General features: G+C 44.2%; 4 annotated features.

Moving 5' to 3' along the window:
• Nucleotides 5,172–5,341: an enhancer, noted in NCBI's record as "experimental_13072 CRE fragment used in MPRA reporter constructs". NCBI's record gives its function as "activates a minimal promoter by MPRAs in K562 erythroleukemia cells, with activity observed for both the introgressed and non-introgressed 10:44741377 variant alleles {active_cell/tissue: K562}" and the evidence as "EXISTENCE:reporter gene assay evidence [ECO:0000049][PMID:34662402]".
• Nucleotides 15,774–16,427: an enhancer, noted in NCBI's record as "OCT4-NANOG-H3K4me1 hESC enhancer chr10:44730206-44730859 (GRCh37/hg19 assembly coordinates)". NCBI's record gives its function as "activates a minimal SCP1, AML or CMV promoter by ChIP-STARR-seq in primed H9 embryonic stem cells {active_cell/tissue: H9 hESC(primed)}" and the evidence as "EXISTENCE:reporter gene assay evidence [ECO:0000049][PMID:30033119]".
• Nucleotides 16,428–17,082: an enhancer, noted in NCBI's record as "OCT4-NANOG-H3K27ac-H3K4me1 hESC enhancer chr10:44729551-44730205 (GRCh37/hg19 assembly coordinates)". NCBI's record gives its function as "activates a minimal SCP1, AML or CMV promoter by ChIP-STARR-seq in naive and primed H9 embryonic stem cells {active_cell/tissue: H9 hESC(naive and primed)}" and the evidence as "EXISTENCE:reporter gene assay evidence [ECO:0000049][PMID:30033119]".
• Nucleotides 17,083–17,737: an enhancer, noted in NCBI's record as "OCT4-NANOG-H3K27ac-H3K4me1 hESC enhancer chr10:44728896-44729550 (GRCh37/hg19 assembly coordinates)". NCBI's record gives its function as "activates a minimal SCP1, AML or CMV promoter by ChIP-STARR-seq in naive and primed H9 embryonic stem cells {active_cell/tissue: H9 hESC(naive and primed)}" and the evidence as "EXISTENCE:reporter gene assay evidence [ECO:0000049][PMID:30033119]".

Here is a 21,648-nt window from a genome sequence, read left to right as displayed (position 1 = left end):
GAACTGCCCAGTGCTGCCCAGTGCTCTGTGATTGCCAGTTCTTGCCTCCCTCAAAAATCCCTCAGACGAGCCTCATGTCCATCAGGGATCCACTCATTATTCACCATCTTCTCCCCTGCTTGCTCTGGTCCATGCCAGCCTTCCCAACTCTGACATTAGCAGTGCCATTTCGCCTTCCTGGGAGGCTGTCCTTCCAGGTCTCCATCTTCCACATTCCTGTCTTCAAAAGTTCTTTCCTAACATTCTCCAAAAAATCCATCCTCCACACCCCACCTCCAGATACTCTACTACATTAAAATATTTCATTGTCTTAAGAGCATTTATTGTTCTCAGAAGTTATTATTTTTATTTGTTTGATGGTTTATTATCTGTCCCTTTATCCTTCTTTTTAAAAGTAAATTTTTCTAGGGCAAGATTTTTATCTGTCTTGTTTCTTCCACATCCTGGTATCTAGAATAGTTCCTGGTGTGCAATATTTGTTGACTGATTGGATGAATGAATATATAGATAAATGATGGCTTCAAGGATAAGTGCATCTTGAGCTCCAAATGATTGCTTTGTAAAGAATTTTCAATTAAATATGAGTTATTAATAAACACAGTATAAAGTCATATGGAGTTTTAAAAAATTATTTCCTAAAGTTAGGTACAGTTGTAAGTGGATTGTACCTTTACAGACATAATTACATATTCAGTCATAATATCTATCTATCTATCTCTCTCTCTATCTATCTATCTATCTATCTACCTCTATATTGTATGTACTGCTCTACAATTTGCTATCTAAAATGATACACTTTTTAAAATTTTTTTCTGGGGGTGGCTAGCAAGATGACTGAATAGGAACAACTCCAGTCTGCAGCTCCCAGTGAGATCAATGCAGAAGGCAGGTGATTTCTGCATTTCCAATTGAGGTACCCAGCTCATCTCACTGGGACTGGTTAGACAATGGGTGCAGCCCATGGAGGGCAAGCCGAAGCAGGGTGGGGCGTCGCCTCACGCAGGAAGCACAAGGGGGTCAGGGAACTCCCTCCCCTAGCCAAGGGAAGCCCTGAGGGACTTCCGTGCCAAGAGGAAAGGTGCCTTCTGGCCCAGAAACTATGCTTTTCCCACTGTCTTTGAAACCTGCAGCCCAGGAGATTCCTACACCACCAGGGCCCTAGGTTTTAAGCACAAAACTGGGCAGCCGTTTGGGCAGACAATAAGCTAGCTGTAGGAGTTTTTTTCCATACCCCAGTGGCACCTGGATCGCAATCGAGACAGAACAATTCACTTCCCTGGAAAGGGGGCTGAAGCCACGGAGCCAAGTGGTCTAGAGGATCCCACCACCACTGGGCCCAGCAAGCTAAGATCCACTGGCTTGAAATTCTCACTGCCAGCACAGCAGTCTTAAGTCGACCTGGTACACTGGAGCTTGGTGGGGAGAGGGACGTCCACCATTACTGAGGGTTGAGTAGGCGGTTTTCCCCTCACAGTGTAAACAGAGCTTCCAGGAAGTTTGAAATGGGCGGAGCCCACCATAGCTCTGAAAAGCCGCTGTAGCGAGACTCCCTCTCTAGATTCCTCCTCTCTGGGCAGGCATCTCTGAAAGAAAGGCAGCAGCCGCAGTCTGGAGCTTATAGTTAAACTCCCATCTCCCTGGGACCGAGCACCTGGGGGAAGGGGCGGCTGTGGGTGCAGCTTCAGCCGACTTAAACATTCCTGCCTGCTGGCTCTAAAGAGAGCACTGGATCTTCCAGCACAGTGCTACATGAAAACTGAACAACCTGCTCCTGAATGACTGCTGGGTAAATAACAAAATTAAGGCAGAAATAAATAAGTTCTTTGAAACCAATGAGAACAAAAACACAATGTACCAGAATCCCTGGGACACAGCTAAAGCAGTGTTTAGAGAGAAATTTATAGCACTAAATGCCCACAGGAGAAAGCAGGAAAGATCTAAGATGGACACCCTAACATCACAATTAAAAGAGCTAGAGAAGCAAGAGCAAACAAATTCAAAAGCTATCAGAAGACAAGAAATAACTAAGATCAGAGCAGAACTGAAGGAGATAGAGACATGAAAAAACCTTCAAAAAATCAATGAATCCAGGAGCTGGTTTTCTGAAAAAATTAACAACGTAGATAGACTGCTAGCCAGACTAATAAAGAAGAAAAGAGAGAAGAATCAAATAGACACAATAAAAAGTGATAAAGGGGAGATCACCAGTGATCCCACAGATATACAAACTACCATTAGAGAATAATATAAACACCTCTACACAAATAAACTAGAAAATCTAGAAGAAATGGATAAATTCCTGGAAACATACACCCTCCCAAGACTAAACCAGGAAGAAGTCGAATCCCTGAATAAACCAATAACAGGTTCTGAAATTGAGGCAGTAATTAATAGTCTAACAACAACAAAAATCCTCAGGACCAGACGGATTCACAGCCGAATTCTACCAGAGGTACAAAGAGGAGCTGGTACCATTCCTTCTGAACTATTCCAAACAATAGAAAAAGAGGGACTCCTCTCTAGCTCATTTTATGAGGTCAGCATCATCCTGATACCAAAACCTTGCATAGACACAACAAAAAAAGAAAATTTCAGGCTAATATCCCTGATGAACATCGATGTGAAAATCCTCAATAAAATACTGGCCAAGCGAATCCAGCAGCGCATCAAAAAGCTTATCCTCCACGATCAAGTTGGCTTCGTCGCTGGGATGCAAGGCTGGTTCAACATATGCAAATCAATAAACGTAATCCATCACATAAATAGAACCAATGACAAAAACCACATGATTATCTCAATAGATGCAGAAAAGGCCTTCGATAAAATTCAACACCCTTTCATGCTAAAAACTCTCAATAAACTAGTTATTGATGGAACATATCTCAAAATAATAAGAGCTATTGATGAAAAACCCACAGCCAATATCATACTGAATTGGCAAAAGCTGGAAGCATTCCCTTTGAAAACTGGCGCAAGACAAGCATGCCTTCTCTCACCACTCCTATTCACCTAGTATTGGAAGTCCTGGCCAGGGCAATCAGGCAAGAGACAGAAATAAAGGGCATTCAAATAGGGAGAGAGGAAGTCAAATTGTCTCTGTTTGCAGATGACATGATTGTACATATAGAAAACCCCATCATCTCAGCCCAAAATCTCCTTAAGCTGATAAGCAACATCAGCAAAGTCTAAGGATACAAAATCAATGTGCAAAAATCACAAGAATTCCTATACATCAATAATAGACAAACAGAAAGCCAAATCATGAGTGAACTTTCATTCACAATAGCTACAAAGAGAATAAAATACCTAGAAATCCAACTTACAAGGGATGTGAAGGACCTCTTCAAGGGGAACTACAAACCACTGCTCAAGGAAATAAGAGAGGACACAAACAAATGGAAGAACATTCCATGCTCATGGATAAAAAGAATCAATATCATGAAAATTGCCATATTGCCAAAGTAATTTATAGGTTCAGTGCTATCTCTATCAAGCTACCATTGACTTTCTTCAAGAATTAGAAAAAACTACTTTAAATTTATATGGAACCAAAAAAGAGCTCGTATAGCCAAGACAATTCTAAGCAAAAAGAACAAAGCTGGAACATTCATGCTACCTGACTTCAAACTATACTACGTGGCTACAGTAACCAAAACAGCATCGTACTGGTACCAAAACAGACATATAGACTAATGGAACAGAACAGAAGCCTCAGAAGTAATGCCACACTTCTACAACCATCTGACCTCCAATAAACCTGACAAAAACAAGCAATGGGAAAAAGATCTCCTAGTCAGTAAATAGTGCTGGGAAAACTGGCTAGCCATTTGCAGAAAACTAAAACTGGACCCCTTCCTTACATCTTATACACAAATTAACTCGAGATGGATTAAAAACTTAAATGTAAGACCTAAACCCATAAAAACTCTAGAAGAAAACCTAGGCAGTACCATTCAGGACATTGGCATGGGCAAAGACTTCATGATTAAAACACTAAAAGCAATGGCAACAAAAGCCAAAATTGACAAATGGGATTTAATTAAACTAAAGAGCATCTGCACAGCAAAAGAAACTATCATCAGGGTGAACAGGCAACCTACAGAGTGGGAGAAAAATTTTGCAATCTATCCATCTGACAAAGAGCCAATATCTAAAATCTACAAGGAACTTAAATTTACAAGAAAAAAACAACCCCATCAAAAAGTGGGCAAAGAATATGAACAGGCAATTCCCAAAAGAAGACATTTATGTGGCCAATAAACATGAAAAAAGCTCATCATCACTGGTCATTAGAGAAATGCAAATCAAAACCACAATGAGATACTATCTCACACCAGTTAGATTGGTGATCATTAAAAAATCAGGAAACAACAGATGCTGGAGAAGTTGTGGAGAAATAGGAATGCTTTTAAACTGTTGGTGTAAGTGTAAATTATTTCAACCATTGTGGAAGACAGTATGGTGATTCCTCAAGGATCTAGAACCAGAAATACCATTTGGCCCATTACTGGGTATATACCCATAAGATTATAAATCATTCTGCTATAAAGACACATGCACACGTATGTTTATTGCAGTACTATTCACAATAGCAAAGACTTGGCACCAACCCAAATGCTCATCAATGATAGATTGGATGAAGAAAATGTGGCACATACACACCATGGAATACTATGCAGCCATAAAAAAGGATGAGTTCATGTCCTTTGCAAGAACATGGATGAAGCTGGAAACCATCATTCTCAGCAAACTAACACAGGAACAGAAAACCAACACCGCATGTTCTCACTCCTAAGTGGGAGTTGAATAGAGAACACATGGACATAGGGAGGGAGCATCCCACACTGGGGCATGTTGGGAGGTGGGTGGCAAGGGGAGTGATAGCATTAGGAGAAATACCTAATATAGATGACGAGTTGATGGGGGCAGCAAACCACTGTGACATGTGTATACCTATGTAACAGACCTGCACGTTCTACACATGTATCCCAGAACTTAAACTATAATAAATTTTTTAAAATTTTTATTGGCACATAGTAGGTGTTTATATTTATAGGGTACATGAGATATTTTGTTACAGGCATGCCATATGTAATAATCACAGGAATGATACACTTTTAAATAAAACATAGGTATACAATTCATAAGAAAATTGAGGATTACATAGACTTATAAAATAGCCATGAACCCCAAATTTAGAAGCCTATAAACAAACAAAATCCCCCACAGACTAAGTACCATTGAAACAATAATGTGTCAGTGGGCCCAGCCTGCCAGTCCCAGGAAGCCCTGGTCTGGTTATTCTTCAATTAGCAACAAGACTATGAGCTATTGAAGGCCTTGTGAACAACTTGTGTTTTTCCACAATGGAACCTGCACTTTAATAGTCTAAGAATTCCTGTAATGTAGCTGATGCAATGCAAACAAAAGAAAGAAAAGCTCAAACTAAATCTCGTCAGCTGAGAATAGCAATGATGCAATGACTGCATAGCTTTTAGTTCTCAATGATGTCATTGCAAGTGTGAATTTGATGCTGTGATAACACTTATCAAGGAATGAGTAGAAGAACCTTGAGGACCTCATGCTGAGTGAAATTAACCAGCCACACAAAAAAGACAAATACTGTATAAGTCCACTTACATGAGGCATCTAAGTAGTCTAATCTATAGAGACAGAAAGCAGGGTTGCCAGGGTCTAGAGGGAGGGGGAATGGGGTGCTATCACTGAATGGGCATGGAGTTTTAGTTTCGCAAGGTGAAGAGAGTTTTGAAGACTGCACAACAATGTGAATGTACTTAATGCTACCGAACTGTACCCTTAAAAGTAACATGGCAAATTTTATCGTATATATGTTTTTCCACAGTTAAAAGTTTAAAAAAAATTAAACATTTAAGAAATGAGTGGAGAAAAAGTAAACATTCTTCCCATGTTATACTTCCCTGTCTTTCCAGTTTCCTACCTTCCCATAGTTAGGATGACCGTACAATCTGTTTGCTTACGACAGTTCTGGTTACTCCTGTTGTCCTTGTGCATTTTTCCATGGGTCGCCTTCACTCTTAAAACTGTTGTGGGTGATAATCTTTATGCTCACCTTGTCCAATACACCTTTGGCAGGCGAGGACAGCCAGAGAACTTAGGCACGGTGTGCATACTGCTAGCATCATTAGTCATTCATTAACTGTTCATTAACTCATTCACAAAGAGCCTCTGTGCACCTCCTGCCTGTGATCATACTGTGCCCTACATGGGTGTTAAGATAACTGTCCTCCCAGCTAGACTGTGGTTCCTCAAGGGCAGGGCTTACAACTAATTCATCTAGTATCCACAGATTCCAGACCAATGCTTGGCACACATCAGGTTCCCAGCAGATTTCTGCTGAATTGCAAAAGGTCCTGGTTCCAGATGTAAGACAGGCGTTAGTGTTGAACCCATAGAAAGGTCTTTCTTCTGTGCCCTCTGGGAGTAGCCCAGCAGAGTCTCTCTGTCTGGATAGACAATTCCCAATGGGAGGACACGGGCCCCATCTAGAGTTTCTCCCTCACATGTTACCCACTTCTAGAGTCTTACCCACTTGCTAGAGTCTTTCCTGATGCTTTTATTTATTTATTTATTTATTTATTTATTTACTTACTTAACCAACTGAGAAACATCTCCATTAGTCTTGAAATAGATGCTTGTGGTATGTTAATAAATGCATAGTAAAGTTTTCATGTTTTCCTATCATGTAAATTATCCATTCCTAAAGCAGAGCTTGAAAGTCTGCTGCAATGGCCGAGAAAATTGAGCTAATTATTTCAGTTTGGTGGCAGACTCATAAATCTGGTCTTGGTTTCCTTTTTCAAAGGCAATGCCATCCTCTAGGTGAGTTTCAGGCACTTCCTCAAATGCCGTGCTTGTGTCTCCAAGTGTGGGATTGAGTTACACTCTGCTTGAGTGCTGTTTGTCTGTTCTCTGATCTCTAATGACCTATGTTCATTTAGGGACTCGGGGATGGCATCTCTGTCTTCCAAGTTACTTAAGATCTCTGAATCCAGGAAAGGATAGAGCTTACCATGCTCCTGACCTCTGCCTATTCCTCTTTCTCCTCCTCCTCAGGGCACTGGATTTGGGAGCCTGAGATCCCAGAGCAGTGGGAGGAGAGGCCTGAGGAGGCGTGCTAAGTAAATGTTAATGAACCCGTAGGTTCAGACTGGAATGCCTTTTAGGGATTTCAGACTTGTTTTGATAAATTAAGCCCAACATCTGGATGGCATTTGGGTTAAGAACCATCGAGAGCTGCCCACTTACCCTGTGATCCATCTCGCCAGTGCACATCACTTTTATTAGTCTTTTCAAAACAATTTTGGCTCTGTTTACCTTTTCTAGGGTACTTTTTTCTATTTCTCTGATTTCTGTTCTCATCTTCATTATTTTATTCTTTCTACAAATGTTCCTAATTTTTAATATGGATCTTAGTTGATTAATTTAAAACTTTCTGTGGCATAATTTTTCTCTTTCCCAGTGATTGTCAGGTTCATTAGGGTCTTGCTCTTGACACAGGGCCCTGGGTATGTGTTGAGGACAATCAGATGAAGGCTTAAAGGGAAGACTATTAGCTCCTGTCTCAAGGGGATCTATTTTAGGAAGGAGACAAGACAGTACGTGTGAAATGTTAAATTAATTACCCATAGACAGACTCTAAGATTTCAGAGGTGTGTTGACTGGGGAAAGCTCTGAGAAGAAGGTAGGAGCAAAGTCAGCCCTCATAGGACAGCTAGATCTCGATGGACTCAGAGGAGCAGAAGGGAAAGCCAGCAAGGGGCATGTTTGGGAGCCCACCATGACCTGGGGAGAGACCCTCCCAAGGCAAGGGGACTGTGAGGTAAAGGTCCAGAGTCAGGCTCCCAGTGTAAGGATCCAGGGGGGGCCGAGACCCAAAAGCTTGTCTGCATGGAGTGAAGCATCGTGGAAGCATCTAAGCAGAAATGTGAGCACAATGAGGCCAGAGAAGGGTGGTTTAGAGAACGATGGTTTGGAGAACAGTGGTTTAGAGAAGGGTGGTTTAGAGAATGATGGTTTAGGGAACAGTGGTTTAGAGATCAGTGGTTTAGAGAAGGGTGGCTTAGAAAACGATGGTTTAGGGAACGGTGGTTTAGAGAACAGTGGTTTAGAGATAAGTGATTTAGAGAAGGGTGGTTTAGAGAATGGTGGTTTAGAGAAGGGTGGTTTAGAGAACAGTGGTTTAGAAAAGGGTGTTTTGGAGGATGATGGTTTAGGGAATGGTGGTTTAGAGAATGATGATTTGGCAGGGAACACTGGAAGCAGGGAGAGAGTAAGATGCAGGGGCATGTGGACAAAACCTTGAGTCAAGTGACACAGGGAGAACACGTCCATTCAGGTGACTTTCCACCTGAGCTTCTGGGTTTGGGAGGCTCAGGATACGGGCACAGTCCATTTGTGGAGCGCCTCCTATGTCAGGCCCAGACAGGTTCCTTTAGCAAGGAATATCTCCATGACTTCAGATGGGGAGGCAGACGCAAGACCTCGCTGGAGCCACAGCAAGTGGGGCCAAGCCAAGTCCACTTCCTGGGCTTCCCAGGAGCCAAAGTCTTGTGATTGTTGTACCATATCCCATCTCCTTTCAAGGCTGTCAACTGGCGGAATGGCAAGGGCAAGGGAGAGTAGTTGGGGCTGATATGTGTGGTCCCAAACATCCAGATGAAGTGGCTGGATGCCCTCCTCCCAGGCACTCTCTGTCATGGCAAGACCCTCAAGCAGATGGGAAAGCAGATGGAGGAGCAGGGTCCAAGGGCAACCACCACTGCTCCCAGCTGTCCTTCTTCCAGGAAAAATGCCAGTCCAGAAGCGAAGCATGGGCAGTGACCTTGCCATGTGCTCCCACAGTGCTGAGTGCCTGATAACTCCCACAGGCCTCCTCTAAAGGAAATGGACTTAACCCTTCAAGTCCTGGGTAGGAGGTTCCTAGTCAGCACCTCCCCACCTGTACCAGGGCAGGTGCACGCTATCCAAGGAGAGAACAGAGCTCTCCTGCACTGAAGGGGTGGCTTCTCCAAGCTCCAATCCCTGAGGAGGATGAGGAAGACTTGCTTTGGGTGAGTCTTCAATTCCACCTGGCCAGTGTCCCTCATGTCCGCATTGCTGACCCCAAGCCCTTGGGCAGGCTGGACTAGAGGTTCCCACTTCCCAGTCTGAACCCTTCTGAGAAGACTCCACTCCTAAGGAAATGACAGATCTTTCCAGGGGCTAGAATGCCCAGGAGACTCATCTACAGGGGAGGCACCCACCTGGCTCCACCCCAGCTCTGGCCCAGGCATGTGGACCTTTGTCACAGGGATTCTCTCCTAGGGTACCAGCTCTGCTTAGGAGGCACTACCTTGTCACTGGGTCCCTTTAGCCTCCAAGACTATCTTTTAGGTGAAACCGTCATGCCTTCTCCTAGGTAGTGCCTTTGCTTTAAGATGTTGTTGAAGGTTTTCTTGATGTGGGGACCTGAGGTGTCTTTAAGTCAACACATTCCACCGTGCACATTCTATGTTCACCAAATCTTTATCACAGGCCAGTTTTGACTGTTGCAGGATTTACCTTGCCTTAGAAATAAAAACTGCTTAGTCCCTTTGGCAAACATTACTGATGATAGAACCCCAGGTCCTTGGCCAGCAAGTAACACACCTGCTGGCCCACAGGATCAGAACGTGGTCTTCGAGGCAAACTGCACAGCCTGGAAGAAGCTCCAACCTGGCAGGAGTTCCCTGGAACTTGGGCTCCTGGAGACCTTGACAGCCCAACTTTAATTGCCCCTTCATATGATCACTTTCATTCACCTCCTCTTATTCCCTTCAGAGCCCTGAGCATGTTCTAAAATGACTTTATTTGTCCATTAGCTTATTGTGTCTCTGTCTCAGCTGGAAGTTCACTTGCTCAAGATTTTCCCTCTGTCTCCCCAGTGCTGATCATGGTGTATGCCTGGCATAGAAGGGGCTTGGTAAATGCTTATGGAAGTGAATCAACACGATTCACCCCAGTGTTTCCATCTGTCACTCAGGAGCCAGGGTTTGATTTTCAACAGAGCATATACATTCTTGAGACTCGGCATGGTGCGGTGGAACGGTGGGCCCAGTCTACAGTCAGCCTCATGTGGCTCAGACACCACTCACTAGCACTGTGACCTCAACTCCGACATCTGAAAAGTGGGAATCTCTCACTCACAAGGCCATTGTGAGAATAGGATAAAGCATGTGAAGTGCCCCACCCAAAACAGATGGTGGATGAATAATCGTTACTATTATTGTACCTGATGATCTCACAGGGTTTTTTGTCTGTTGTTTGTATTGTCTTGTTCTATTTATCTGATTTTTCTAAAAGGAAAATGACCCTGGCCACTCAGGAAGTCAGGGCTGATGAGCTCAGGGATACCAGAGGGGAAGGGAGAACAAGGGCCTGAGTCTCCAAAGCCTCTAAGAGGAATGACTGCCTGCCTTCAGAGACCCTGTCTGAAGCTGTTGGAAAACCATGGTTGTATCCAGCTCCCAGGGGTTGAGTCTTAAGATCATATATAAAGCAATAAGTTTGAATCTCACAGAGCTTCTTACAATGCTTTCAGACCTACTCCAATTACAAGATTCGAAGTTTCTCACTGAGAAGCTGCTAGTCTTGACTCAGGAGAAAGGATGCAGGAACAGGGAACTGGGATCTGATAGCAGCTTAACAAGATTCACAGCCACAGTAAAGGCCGCTCCTGTCCTCAGCCTTTGGGAAGCACTCCGTCCCCTTGACTCTGCAGTTCCATATTCTCCTGGACGTCCCCCTACTTTTCTGGGGTCCCTCTCAGTCTCTTTGTGGGTGCACTTTTCTTTACTCAGCTGATCATTACAGTCATGCATCACTTAATGGTCGGGATACGTTCTGAGAAATGCATCATAGGTGATTTTGTTGTATAAATATCATAGAGTGACTTACACAATCCTAGATGGTACAGCTACTGCACACCCAGGCTATATGGCATAGCCTATAGCTCCCAGGCTGCAAACCCATACAGCACGCGAAGACACTAAACACTGCAGGCAATTGTAACACAATGGTATCTGTGTATCTAAACAGCTAAATGTAGAAAAGATACAGTAAAAACACGGTACTGTAATCTTACGTGACCACAATTGTATATTTGGTCCATCACTGACTGAAACATCTTTATGAGACTCATGACTGTTGAGTTCTGACTGCTTTCTTATTAATTTCTTTCTCCCAGAGCAATTGTCTCATGATCACAGCTCTGTCTGTTTGCCCAGCATTATGGATGTGCCCATTGCTTGACTGGTGTCTCAGTCCATCCACCTGTGCAGCCCCTCCACCTGGCAGTACCAAGCATCTCAAACTCAACAAGCCCCAGGCCCCAAGTCACTCCCATCCTCCTCCTCTGGGTTTCCTTCTCCAGGTTCCTTGGCTCAATGCACAGCTTCTCTGCCCCGATTCCCAGGCACCAAGACAGCAGCCCAGGAACCAGCGTTAGTTCTTCTATCCCCCGTACCCACACACAGCCACCAGGTCTGGTTGATTTAACCACCGTCTGCCACTATTTTCCATCCTTTCCCCATTCAGGCCCCTGTGTCCTAGGTCCTGAGGACTGAACAGCCTCCATCTCATCTTCCAGCTGCAAGTGGGGCCCCTCCTATTCATTCTCCATGCTGCAGACAGCAGGGTACCATCTTTCCAAATACAAATCAAAGGGATCACATCAACCCCTCCCTGGCACTAGAGTCCTGCAATGCACACAGCACATGACTCCATTTAGAAGTTTGGTAGAGTCCAGAAAGTGTCTCCCCTGGGGTGGGGAGGGCAGGACTGAGGGGAAGAAGGGAGCCTTCTGCAGATGTGGAAATGCCCCAAGTCTTGATCCGGTGACAGTTACCTGGGTGTATAAACAGGTAGACACACATCAAGGTGTGAACTTCACATCTGTGCACTTTACTATATGTGAATGATATGTCAGAAGATACAAATAAGACATACAACCGGCCGGGCGCGGTGGCTCACACCTGTAATCCCAGCACTTTGGGAGGCCGAGGCGGGCGGATCACGAGGTCAGGAGATCGAGACCATCCTGGCTAACACGGTGAAACCCCGTCTCTACTAAAAATACAAAAAATTAGCCGGGCGAGGTGGCGGGCGCCTGTAGTCCCAGCTACTCGGGAGGCTGAGGCAGGAGAATGGCGTGAACCCCAGGGGGCGGAGCCTGCAGTGAGCCGAGATTGCGCCACTGCACTCCAGCCTGGGCGACAGCGAGACTCCGTCTCAAAAAAAAAAAAAAAAAAAAAAAAAAAAAGACATACAACCTGTGAAAAAAGAAATAAATAAAAGAAGCCTGCCAGGTAACCCTAATCTCTTTGAGGATGAAAACCAAGAATATTAGTGCAGCCTGTGTTTAGGATGACATTCACCTGGCTTGCCTGGCAGTGTCCTGGCTTATGCCTGAGGCCCTGGTGTAATTCTCAACAAGCCCTGTCCAATGATCAATTACATGGCAGCTTCTCTCCTGCCTCCAGGCCTCACCCCTGCTCTTTCCCTCTGGCTAGAATGCTTTCTGTTCACCTTTCACCCATTCCTTGGGTTCCAGGTAAAACATCATTGACTCTGCACGTCTGCCCTTTACTTATCCCCACACCAGGAGGGTCCCTCCTTCAACTGGCCCAGGAGCACCTTGTCTGTCTCTTTCCTTCACCTTCCCAAGCCAGCTGGAGACTCAAGGGTGGTGATTGTGACCATCCCTTCAGTTTCAGTATGTATTGAAATGTGCTTATCTTATCTTTCAGGACACAAGGAGCCTAAACCACCCACCATATAGATGAGGGGACTGAATATTTAAGGGGCCCCTCCAAGGCTGCCTGCCCAGTGACTGCCAGAACCAGGACCAGAATCCACGAGAACACCGATTCAGGATTCAGACTCCCCAGGTTATTCTGATGACTACACTATTTGATGGGGCTTTGGGGAAATGATTCCAAATATAATTTCCCATTCCTTGGGTCTGGGTCTGATAATTCAGAACGTGCAAAAGATTTAATTTAATGTCATAGGCCTTATGGACTCTCCTGGAAGTTTACTTTCTCAAAAAAATTCTGAATGAATAAAAATCTTATTAGCAGAGAGTTCTGGGTACTAAGCCTTCCTTTTTTCAGTATAGGCTAGAAGTTAAAGGTATTCTCTCTGTTAATAACTGGGCATTTGTCCAATATTGATGCATCACCACTGGCCAATGAAACCTCCCCTTCCCCAACAGTGGTGTTCTGTGTAGATACAGGCCTCTAGAGCAAGCACAGATGGAGGTGGAGCTGTGGGGTCACACCATCCTGAGTGGCGCAGTTCCAGCCCTGTAACTCCTGGATGTGTGACTTGGGAGAAGTTATCAACCCTCTCTAGGAGTGAGGTTCTCATCTGAAAAATGGGGAACTACTAGTGCCTAAATTAAAGGACTGTTTTCATGATTGAATAAGATAATTCATGCAAAATTGTTGGCATGCAGTGGGCACTCAGTAGATATCAGTTCTCTTCTCTTCCTTCTTTTCTCTGCCACCTTCTTCTTCTCTTCCTCCTCTTTCTCCCTGCTTTCCCCTCCCCATGCCTCCTTCTCCTTCTTCATCTCCTTCCTGTTTTCCATCTCCTTCTCTCTTCATCCTTCTTCCTTTTCTTCCCACTTCCTCCTCTGTCTTCTTAATGATAGCCTTAATAATAGACCCACATCTTCTGATAATCAAGATTACTTTCTATCAGCCATAGAAAAGCAACAGTGCATGAACCAAGAAGTAGTGGGCTAAGAGATGTGTTGCTTTCAAGGTAAACTCATCCATTTCATTCCATCTGAGCCACCTTATGGTTCAAGATGTTCTTAATTACTTCTTCAGTTTTTTACACTCTTCCTAAGACATGAGTACCATAACTAAAGTATCTAGGTGTGTTCCATCCAGAAAAGAAAAGATTACCCACCTGCCCTGGAGCCATGTTGGGCTTCCTGTAGAGGAGCCCCAAATAGAATGCTCTGGGGTCATGAGATCACTTATTGACTCAAGCAGAGCCTGTGGAAAACCTACACACTAAAATGAATTATCTCAAAACAACAAGTAGAGGGCAAGGTTGCCGAGGTCAGGTTGTGCTAGCAAACCTGGACCTACACCACGGGGGAGAGTTCAAACGCAGTTCCTATGGCAAATATTTGCCTGATGTTTGCTGTTACCTCAGCTCTTGCTTTGTTTATCTGAAGGTCACGTCACCTTTCAAGTTCCCATCTGACTGGCAGCTGGAGGCCCTGGCGACCACACAGCTGGACAGATGTTAGGAATCTGGGCCGCAATGCATGAGCTACACTTTTGAAACAGATTCCCTAGGGCCATGGTCTGGGAGAGAAGCAGGCAAACCTCTTTTGGGACTCCATCCTTCTCTCCCCAGTCCTTGGTGAGTAGCCCTGCAACCAGGCTGCATTTACCTTCTCTCCATAAAGATTATGGTATTGACTACCATTGGACAGCAGGTCCCTAGAGTGAGTTTACTGAGAAGTGGGTGGAGTTTTCTGAGCCAGCATGAGCATCAAAACAAGATTTTGTAATATTGCTGGCTAGGATGAAGACATAGCCCTGACCCCATTCACTGTGTGCTTTAAATCCGGGTACCTATTAACAACATCAGGTCTGAGGAGAGGGCACCCACAACCTCCAGCACTATAACAAATCCTCTGAGCAGCACCACAGGTCTTGTCAAGTGAAGGTGAGGTCTTCACAATAGTTAACTCTTCACAGAGTAGTCTTTTTTTTTGAGACAGAGTCTCGCTCTGTTGCCCAGGCTGGAGTGCAGTGCATGATCTCTGCTCAGTGTAACCTCCACCTCCCAGGTTCAAGAGATTCTCCTGCCTCAGCCTCCTGAGTAGCAGGGATTACAGGTGCCCGTCACCACGCCCAGCTTATTTTTTATTTTTAGTGGAGACAGGGTTTCACCATGTTAGCCAGGCTGGTTTTGAACTCCTGGCCTCAAGTGATCCACCTGCCTCGGCCTCCCAAAAGTGCTGGGATTACAGGTGTGAGCCACCACACCCGACCTCACAGAGCAGTCTTTCTAAGGAATACAGGAAACATGATGAGAAGGAGGGAGAGGAAGCCAGGATGAGGTCTAGACTCCTAGCCAATCTTCCTCTCGGTGCCGCTGCAAGGCTGTGCCCTGGAACAAGCACTGGCTTGAGATTTACCCAGGTCTAGGCTGGAACCCCAGTCCTGCTCCTCACTAGCTAACCTACTTGCCCACTGTAAAGCTCAGTTTTCTTTTCTGTAATTTGGTGATAATGCTATACAGAGAATGCTAAGGGTTGAAATAGCCGATTTCTACGTAAATCACCCAGCACATGGCGCACAGATGATCACCCCAGCCCTATCCCCTCACAGAGCCCACTATCCTGAGCTTGCCAGATAAACAGAACCCTTGTCTAGCAGCTAGGATGTGGACAGTGAGTTACAGTTAAGGAACCAAAACAAGAACCGGGGGAAAGGCATTGGATAAAGTTTCCATTAGCAATGGATCTAAGAGCAGCCTGGGTCATACCTGGAGCTGCGATGACATAGCCAGGCTCTTCTTTGAGAGCAGGTGTCAGACATGACAAATCAGGGCCCCAAACCAAGCAAAACCAGGCCAGACCTAGGTCAGCGCTGTACCCTGACCCTGGAAGTCAGTCCGTCCAGGGGCAGGTAGGGGCTGTTGGGTGTGATGAGCTGCTCATCTCCTGGCTCTGCAACACTTGCACACGTTCTCCAAGGCTTCTTCTCAATGTAGAAACCTGTAGGCTCTGCTAACAATTTCGGTATTTGCCCGAAGATTAAGAAGTTCCCAGTAAAATAGCTAAAAGGGCATAATTGGATGGTTTATTACACAAAGGATAAATGCTTGAGGGAATGGCTACCCCATTCTCCTTGATGTCATTATTACACATTGCATGCCTATATCAATACGTCTCATGTACCCCATAAATATGTACACCTACTGTGCACCAACAAAAATTAAATAAAAATATATTTAAAATAACAATAGAAAAGAATTTCTCCAGGGTTTTGCCACCTCTGAGGATGAACAGTGCTTCAACAGGGAGTAACTCTGAGCTAAGCCTCCTGCAGCCTCAGTTACGGTTTTGAATGAATTCTGTTCTTCGTTATTTATACCTTTGTTACCAGACTCCAGGATAAGAATCTGTTCAAGGAAACTAATTACACACAACTGTAAGAAACACTTTTAGGCATTAAATCCTTTGAATTCTCTTCACAATGAGATAGATACTTGTGTTTTCCCAGTTTTACATGTTGAGAAAACAGACAAGGAAGTTAGGGAATGCACTCAGACTACCAAGCAGTAAGCTGCCAAATCAGGCTTCAATAGCAGAAGAGTGAGATTCCAGCTCCCAAATACGTAAGCATACAGAAATCATGAGAAACAGCTGAACACAGGAGGCCCATTGGTCATCTCACCATGTTTTCAAGACGGAAGAGAGGTAGCTTTGCTCCAAGCTGCCAAACCCTCACCACTTGGCTCTCAAACTACACCAGGAGCTCCCTGCTGGTACTCTGACAGCCCAGGCTTGCATAAGTTCTTGCATGTTGTTCAGCCTAATGATGCCTCAAAGGCTCTGGCCATGAAAAGGGATAGTAGAACCATTATTTTTAACCGAGATGTTCATCAAATTGACTTGAGAAAAGCAGTTTCATTTGCACACACAACACGGTGTTGGCAGTGGGTTGACGGTGGTACAGCAAAGACGTTTTTGTTTTCTTTTGTTTTTCCATATAGAACAAGCAGCCACTGCAGGGGAAAAGCCTGCCCTCCTTCCATGCAGGTTAACAGGAAGAAGAGAGGGGCGGGGCCAAGATGGCAGAGTGGAAGCAGCAGCGTTTAGAGGCTCCCGTCCAGTGACAAGAGCGAAACTCCATCTCAATAATAATAATAATAATAATAATAATAATAATAATAAATAATGAAAAAAAAAACCATAATAAGCGGGTGAGTCCTTCACCGGCAACCAGCGTATCCAGGTTCTCTCATCAAAATTGTCTAGAAGTCTGGCGTTACCCACGCAATGTGGTGTGCCGCCCACCTGAGAGCCACAGAAGGGGAACCCCCTCCCCCCACCAAGGGAGGTGGTGAGTGAGCGCACTACCCAGCAGGGGAAACTGTGCTTTTTCCATGGAACTGTGCAACCCACAGATGGGAAGTTTCCACTTTTGAACCCATGCCACTGGGGCCTAGTGTTCCAACCCCGCAATGTGCAGATTCTTATAGCCTCTCAGCTGGAATCTGCTTAAGCCTACTGAACTCCCAGGGGGAGGGGCGACCAGCACCGGCTGCGGCTGCCTGCTGTCTTAAGCCGTTTCAGCCCCTTGGGGGAGGGGCAGCAGCCAGCACTGGGACTTGCAACTGCCTAACACGCTAAGCTCCCTGGGCGGGGGAAGGGCAGCACTCATTTCTATAGCTCCAGGCTGCTCTTTTCTCCTGCTGGAGCCAGGAAGGCTGAGCGGCTTGGTCCCAAGACTTGTCCCCACAGCCCAACACACTGGCTGTGGCAGTCTGCAGCCAGCGTGCCTCTTCAGGCCTACCCCTGACCCATTCTTCCTCAGTGGGCCGGGCTTCCCTGCAGGACCTCCAATAACTCCAGCCAGAGGCTCAGGGACAGAATTCAGATGTCCCTGGGCCTGAGCCCCAAGGCGGCAGGGTGGCCACAGTCTCTGCAGACCAGCAGACTTAGCCTCTCCTCCGGGTAGTTCTGAGGAATCCGGGCAGCCTAGACGAGTGGGTTTCCCACCAGTGAAGCACACCACCATCACCACCAAGGGACAAAATGCTTCATTTAATGGGTTCTGCTCCCTGTGCCACCCAACTGGGTGAGACCCTCCAACAGGGGTTATCAGACACCCTATACAGGAGCGATCCTACTGGCATCAGGTTGGTGCCTCTTAAGGTCAGAGGTCCCTGAAAAAGGAGCAAACACCCATCTTTGCTGTTCTCCAGCCTCCTTGAATGACATCTCCAGGCACAGGAGCGAATCAGATGAATAGGGCCTGAAGTGAACCCCCAGCAAACTTCAACAGCCCTACGGAAGAGGGACCTGACTATTGAAAGAAAAACAAACAAGCAGAAAGTGACAACAATGGCATCAACAATAACAACAACAAAGGCCCCCACAAAAACCCCATCCAAGGGTAAGCAGCCTCAAAGATCAAAACTAGACAAACTCATGAAGATAAGAAAGAATCAACGAAAATATTTCTGAAAACCCAAAAGGCCAGAGTGCCTCTTCTCCTCCAAATGATTGCAACATCTCTCCATCAAGAGTGCAGAACTGTGGGGAGGATCAGATGGACGAATTGACAGAAGTAGGCTTCAGAAGATGGGTAATAAAAAACTACGGTGAGCTAAAGGAGCATGTTCTAACCCAAGGCAAAGAAGCTAAGAACTGGCTGAGTGCAGTGGCTCACGTCTGTAATCCCAGCACTGTGGGAGGCCGAGGCAGGCAGATCACCTGAGGTCAGCAGTTTGAGACCAGCCTGACCAATATGATGAAACCCCATCTCTACTGAAAATACAAAAATTAGCCAGGTGTGGTGGCATGCACCTATAACCTCAGCTGCTTGGGAAGCTGAAACAGGAGAATTGCTTGAACCCGTGAGGTGGAGGTTGTAGCGAGCTGAGATTGCACTCCAACCTAGGCAACAAGAGCAAAACTCTGACCAAAAAAAAAAAAAAGAAGAAGAAGAAGAAGAAGAAACAAAGAACCTTGACGAAAGGTTAAAGGGATTGCAAACTAGAATAACCAGTTTAAAGAGGAACGTAAATGACCTAATGGAGCTGAAAAACACAACACGAGACCTTTGTGAAGCATACATAAGTATCAACAGCCGAATCAACCAAGCAGAAGAAAGGATATCAGAGTTTGAAGACCAGCTTACTGAAATAAGACATGCAGACAAGAAGAGAGAAAAAAGAATGAAAAGGAACAAACAAAACCTCCAAGAAATATGGGTCTATGTGAAAAGACCGAACCTACGATTGATTGGAGTATGAGAAGGAGACGGGGAGAATGGAAACAAGATGGAAAACACACTTCGGGATATTATCCATGAGAACTTCCCCAACCTACTAAGACAGGCCAACATGCAAATTCAGGAAATACAGAGAACACCGTTAAGATACTCCACAACAAGATCAACCCCAAGACACATAATCATCAGATTCTCCAAGGTTGAAATGAAGGAAAACTGTTAAGGGCAGTCAGAGAGAAAGGCCAGGTCACCTACAAAGGGAAGCCCATCAGACAAATAGTAGACCTCTCAACAGAAACTCTAGAAGCCAGAAAAGATTGGGGGCCAATATTCAACATTCTTAAAGAAAATAATTTTCAACCCAGAATTTCATATCCAGCCAAACTAAGCTTCATAAGAGAAGGAGAAATAAAATCGTTTTCAGACAAGCAAATGCTGAGGGATTTCTTTTCCACCAGGTCTGTCCTGCAAGAGCTCCTAAAAGAAGCACTAAATATGGAAAGGAAAAACTGGTGCCAGCCACTGCAAAAACACATCAAAATATAAAGACCAATGACACTATGAAGAAACTGAATCACCTGGTGTGCAAAATAACCAAATAGTATCATGATGACAGGATCAAATTCACACATAATAATACTAAACTTAAATGTAAAAACAATGCCTAAATTAAAAGACACAGACTGGCAAATTGGATAAGAAATCAAGACCTATCAGTGTGCTGTATTTAGGAGACCCACTTACATGCAAAGACACACATAGGCTCAAAATAAAGGGATGGAGGAAAATTTACCAAGCAAATGGAGAGAAAAGAAAAAGCAGGGGTTGTAATCTTAGTCTCTGAAAAAACAGACTTTAAACCAACAATGATCAAAAAAGACAAAGAATGGCATTACATAATGGTAAAGGGAACAAGTCAACAGGAAGAGCTAACTATTCTAAATATATATGCACCCAATATAGGAGCACCCAGATTCATAAAACAAGTTCTTAGAGACCTACAGAGAGACTTAGACTCCCACACAATAATAGTGGGAGACTTTAACACCCCACTGTCAGTATTAGACAGATCAATGAGACAGAAAATTGACAAGGATATTCAGGACTTGAACTCAGCTCTGGATCAAGTGGACCTAGTAGAAATCTAAAGAACTCTGTACTGTAAATCAATAGAATATACATTCCTCTCAGTGCCACATGGCATTTATTCTAAAATCAACCAATAATTGAAAGTAAAACATTCCTCAGCAAATGCAAAAGAACTGAAACCATAACAGTCTCTCAGACCACAGTGCAATCAAAGTAGAACTCAGGATTAAGAAACCCACTCAAAACCACACAATTTCATGGAAATCAAACAACCTGTTCATTAATGACTCCTGGGTAAATAATGAAATTAAGGCAGAAATCAAGAAGTTCTTTGAAACCAGTGAGAACAAAGAGACAATGTACCAGAATCTCTGGGACACAGCTAAAGCAGTGTTAAGAGGGAAATTTATAACACTAAATGCCCACATCAGAAAGCTGGAAAGATCTCAAATCAACACTCTAACATCACAATTAAAAGAACTAGAGAGGTAAGAGCAAACTAATCCAAAAGCTAGCAGAAGACAAGAAATAATTAAGATCAGAGAAGTGGAGATAGAGATATGACAAACTCTTTTAAAAAATCAACAAATCCAGGAGTTGTTTTTTGAAAAAATTAACAGATAGTTGAAGAAGAGAGAGAAGAATCAAATAGACATAATAAAAATGATAAAGGGGATATCACCATTGACCCCACAGAAATAAAAACTATCATCAGAGAATACTATAAACACCTCTATGTAAATAAACCAGAAAATCTAGAAGAAATGGATAAATTCCTGGATGCATACACCTTACCAAGACTAAACCAGGAAGAAGTTGAATCCCTGAATTGACCAATAACAAACTCTGAAATTGAGGCAGTAATTAATAGCCTAGCAACCAAAAAAAGCCCAGGACCAGATGGGCTCACAGCTGAATTCTACCAAAAATATAAACAGGAGCTGGTACCATTCCTCCTGAAACTATTCCAGACAATTGAAAAGGAGGGACTCCTCCCTAACTCATTGTATGAAGCCAGCATTATCCTGATACCACAACCAGGAAGAGAGACACAAAAAAAGACTTCAGGCCAATATCCCTGGAGAACATCGATGCAAAAAAGTCCTCGATAAAATACTGGCAAACCGAATCCAGCAGCACATCAAAAATCTTATCCATCACAATCAAATCAGCTTCATCCCTGGGATGCAAGGCTGGTTCAACATACACAAGTCAATAAATGTAATCCATCACATAAAAAGAACCAAAGACAAAAACCATATGATTATCTCAATAGATGCAGAAAAGGCCTTTGATAAAATTCAACACCCCTTCATGTTAAAAACTCCCAGTAAACTAGGTATTGATGGAACACATCTCAAAGTAATAAAAACTGTTTATGACAAGCCCCCAGCCAATATCATATTGAATGAGCAAAAGCTGGATGCATTTCCTTTGAAAACCGGCACAAGACAAGGATGCCCTCTCTCACCATTTCTATTCAACCTAGTATTACAAGTTCTGG

The sequence above is a fragment of the Homo sapiens genome, chromosome 10 (assembly GCF_000001405.40).
Source record: "Homo sapiens chromosome 10, GRCh38.p14 Primary Assembly".
Classification (NCBI taxonomy): domain Eukaryota; kingdom Metazoa; phylum Chordata; class Mammalia; order Primates; family Hominidae; genus Homo; species Homo sapiens.
The sequence above is the reverse complement of the archived record's forward strand: the minus strand, read 5'-3'. Positions and strand labels throughout refer to the sequence as shown.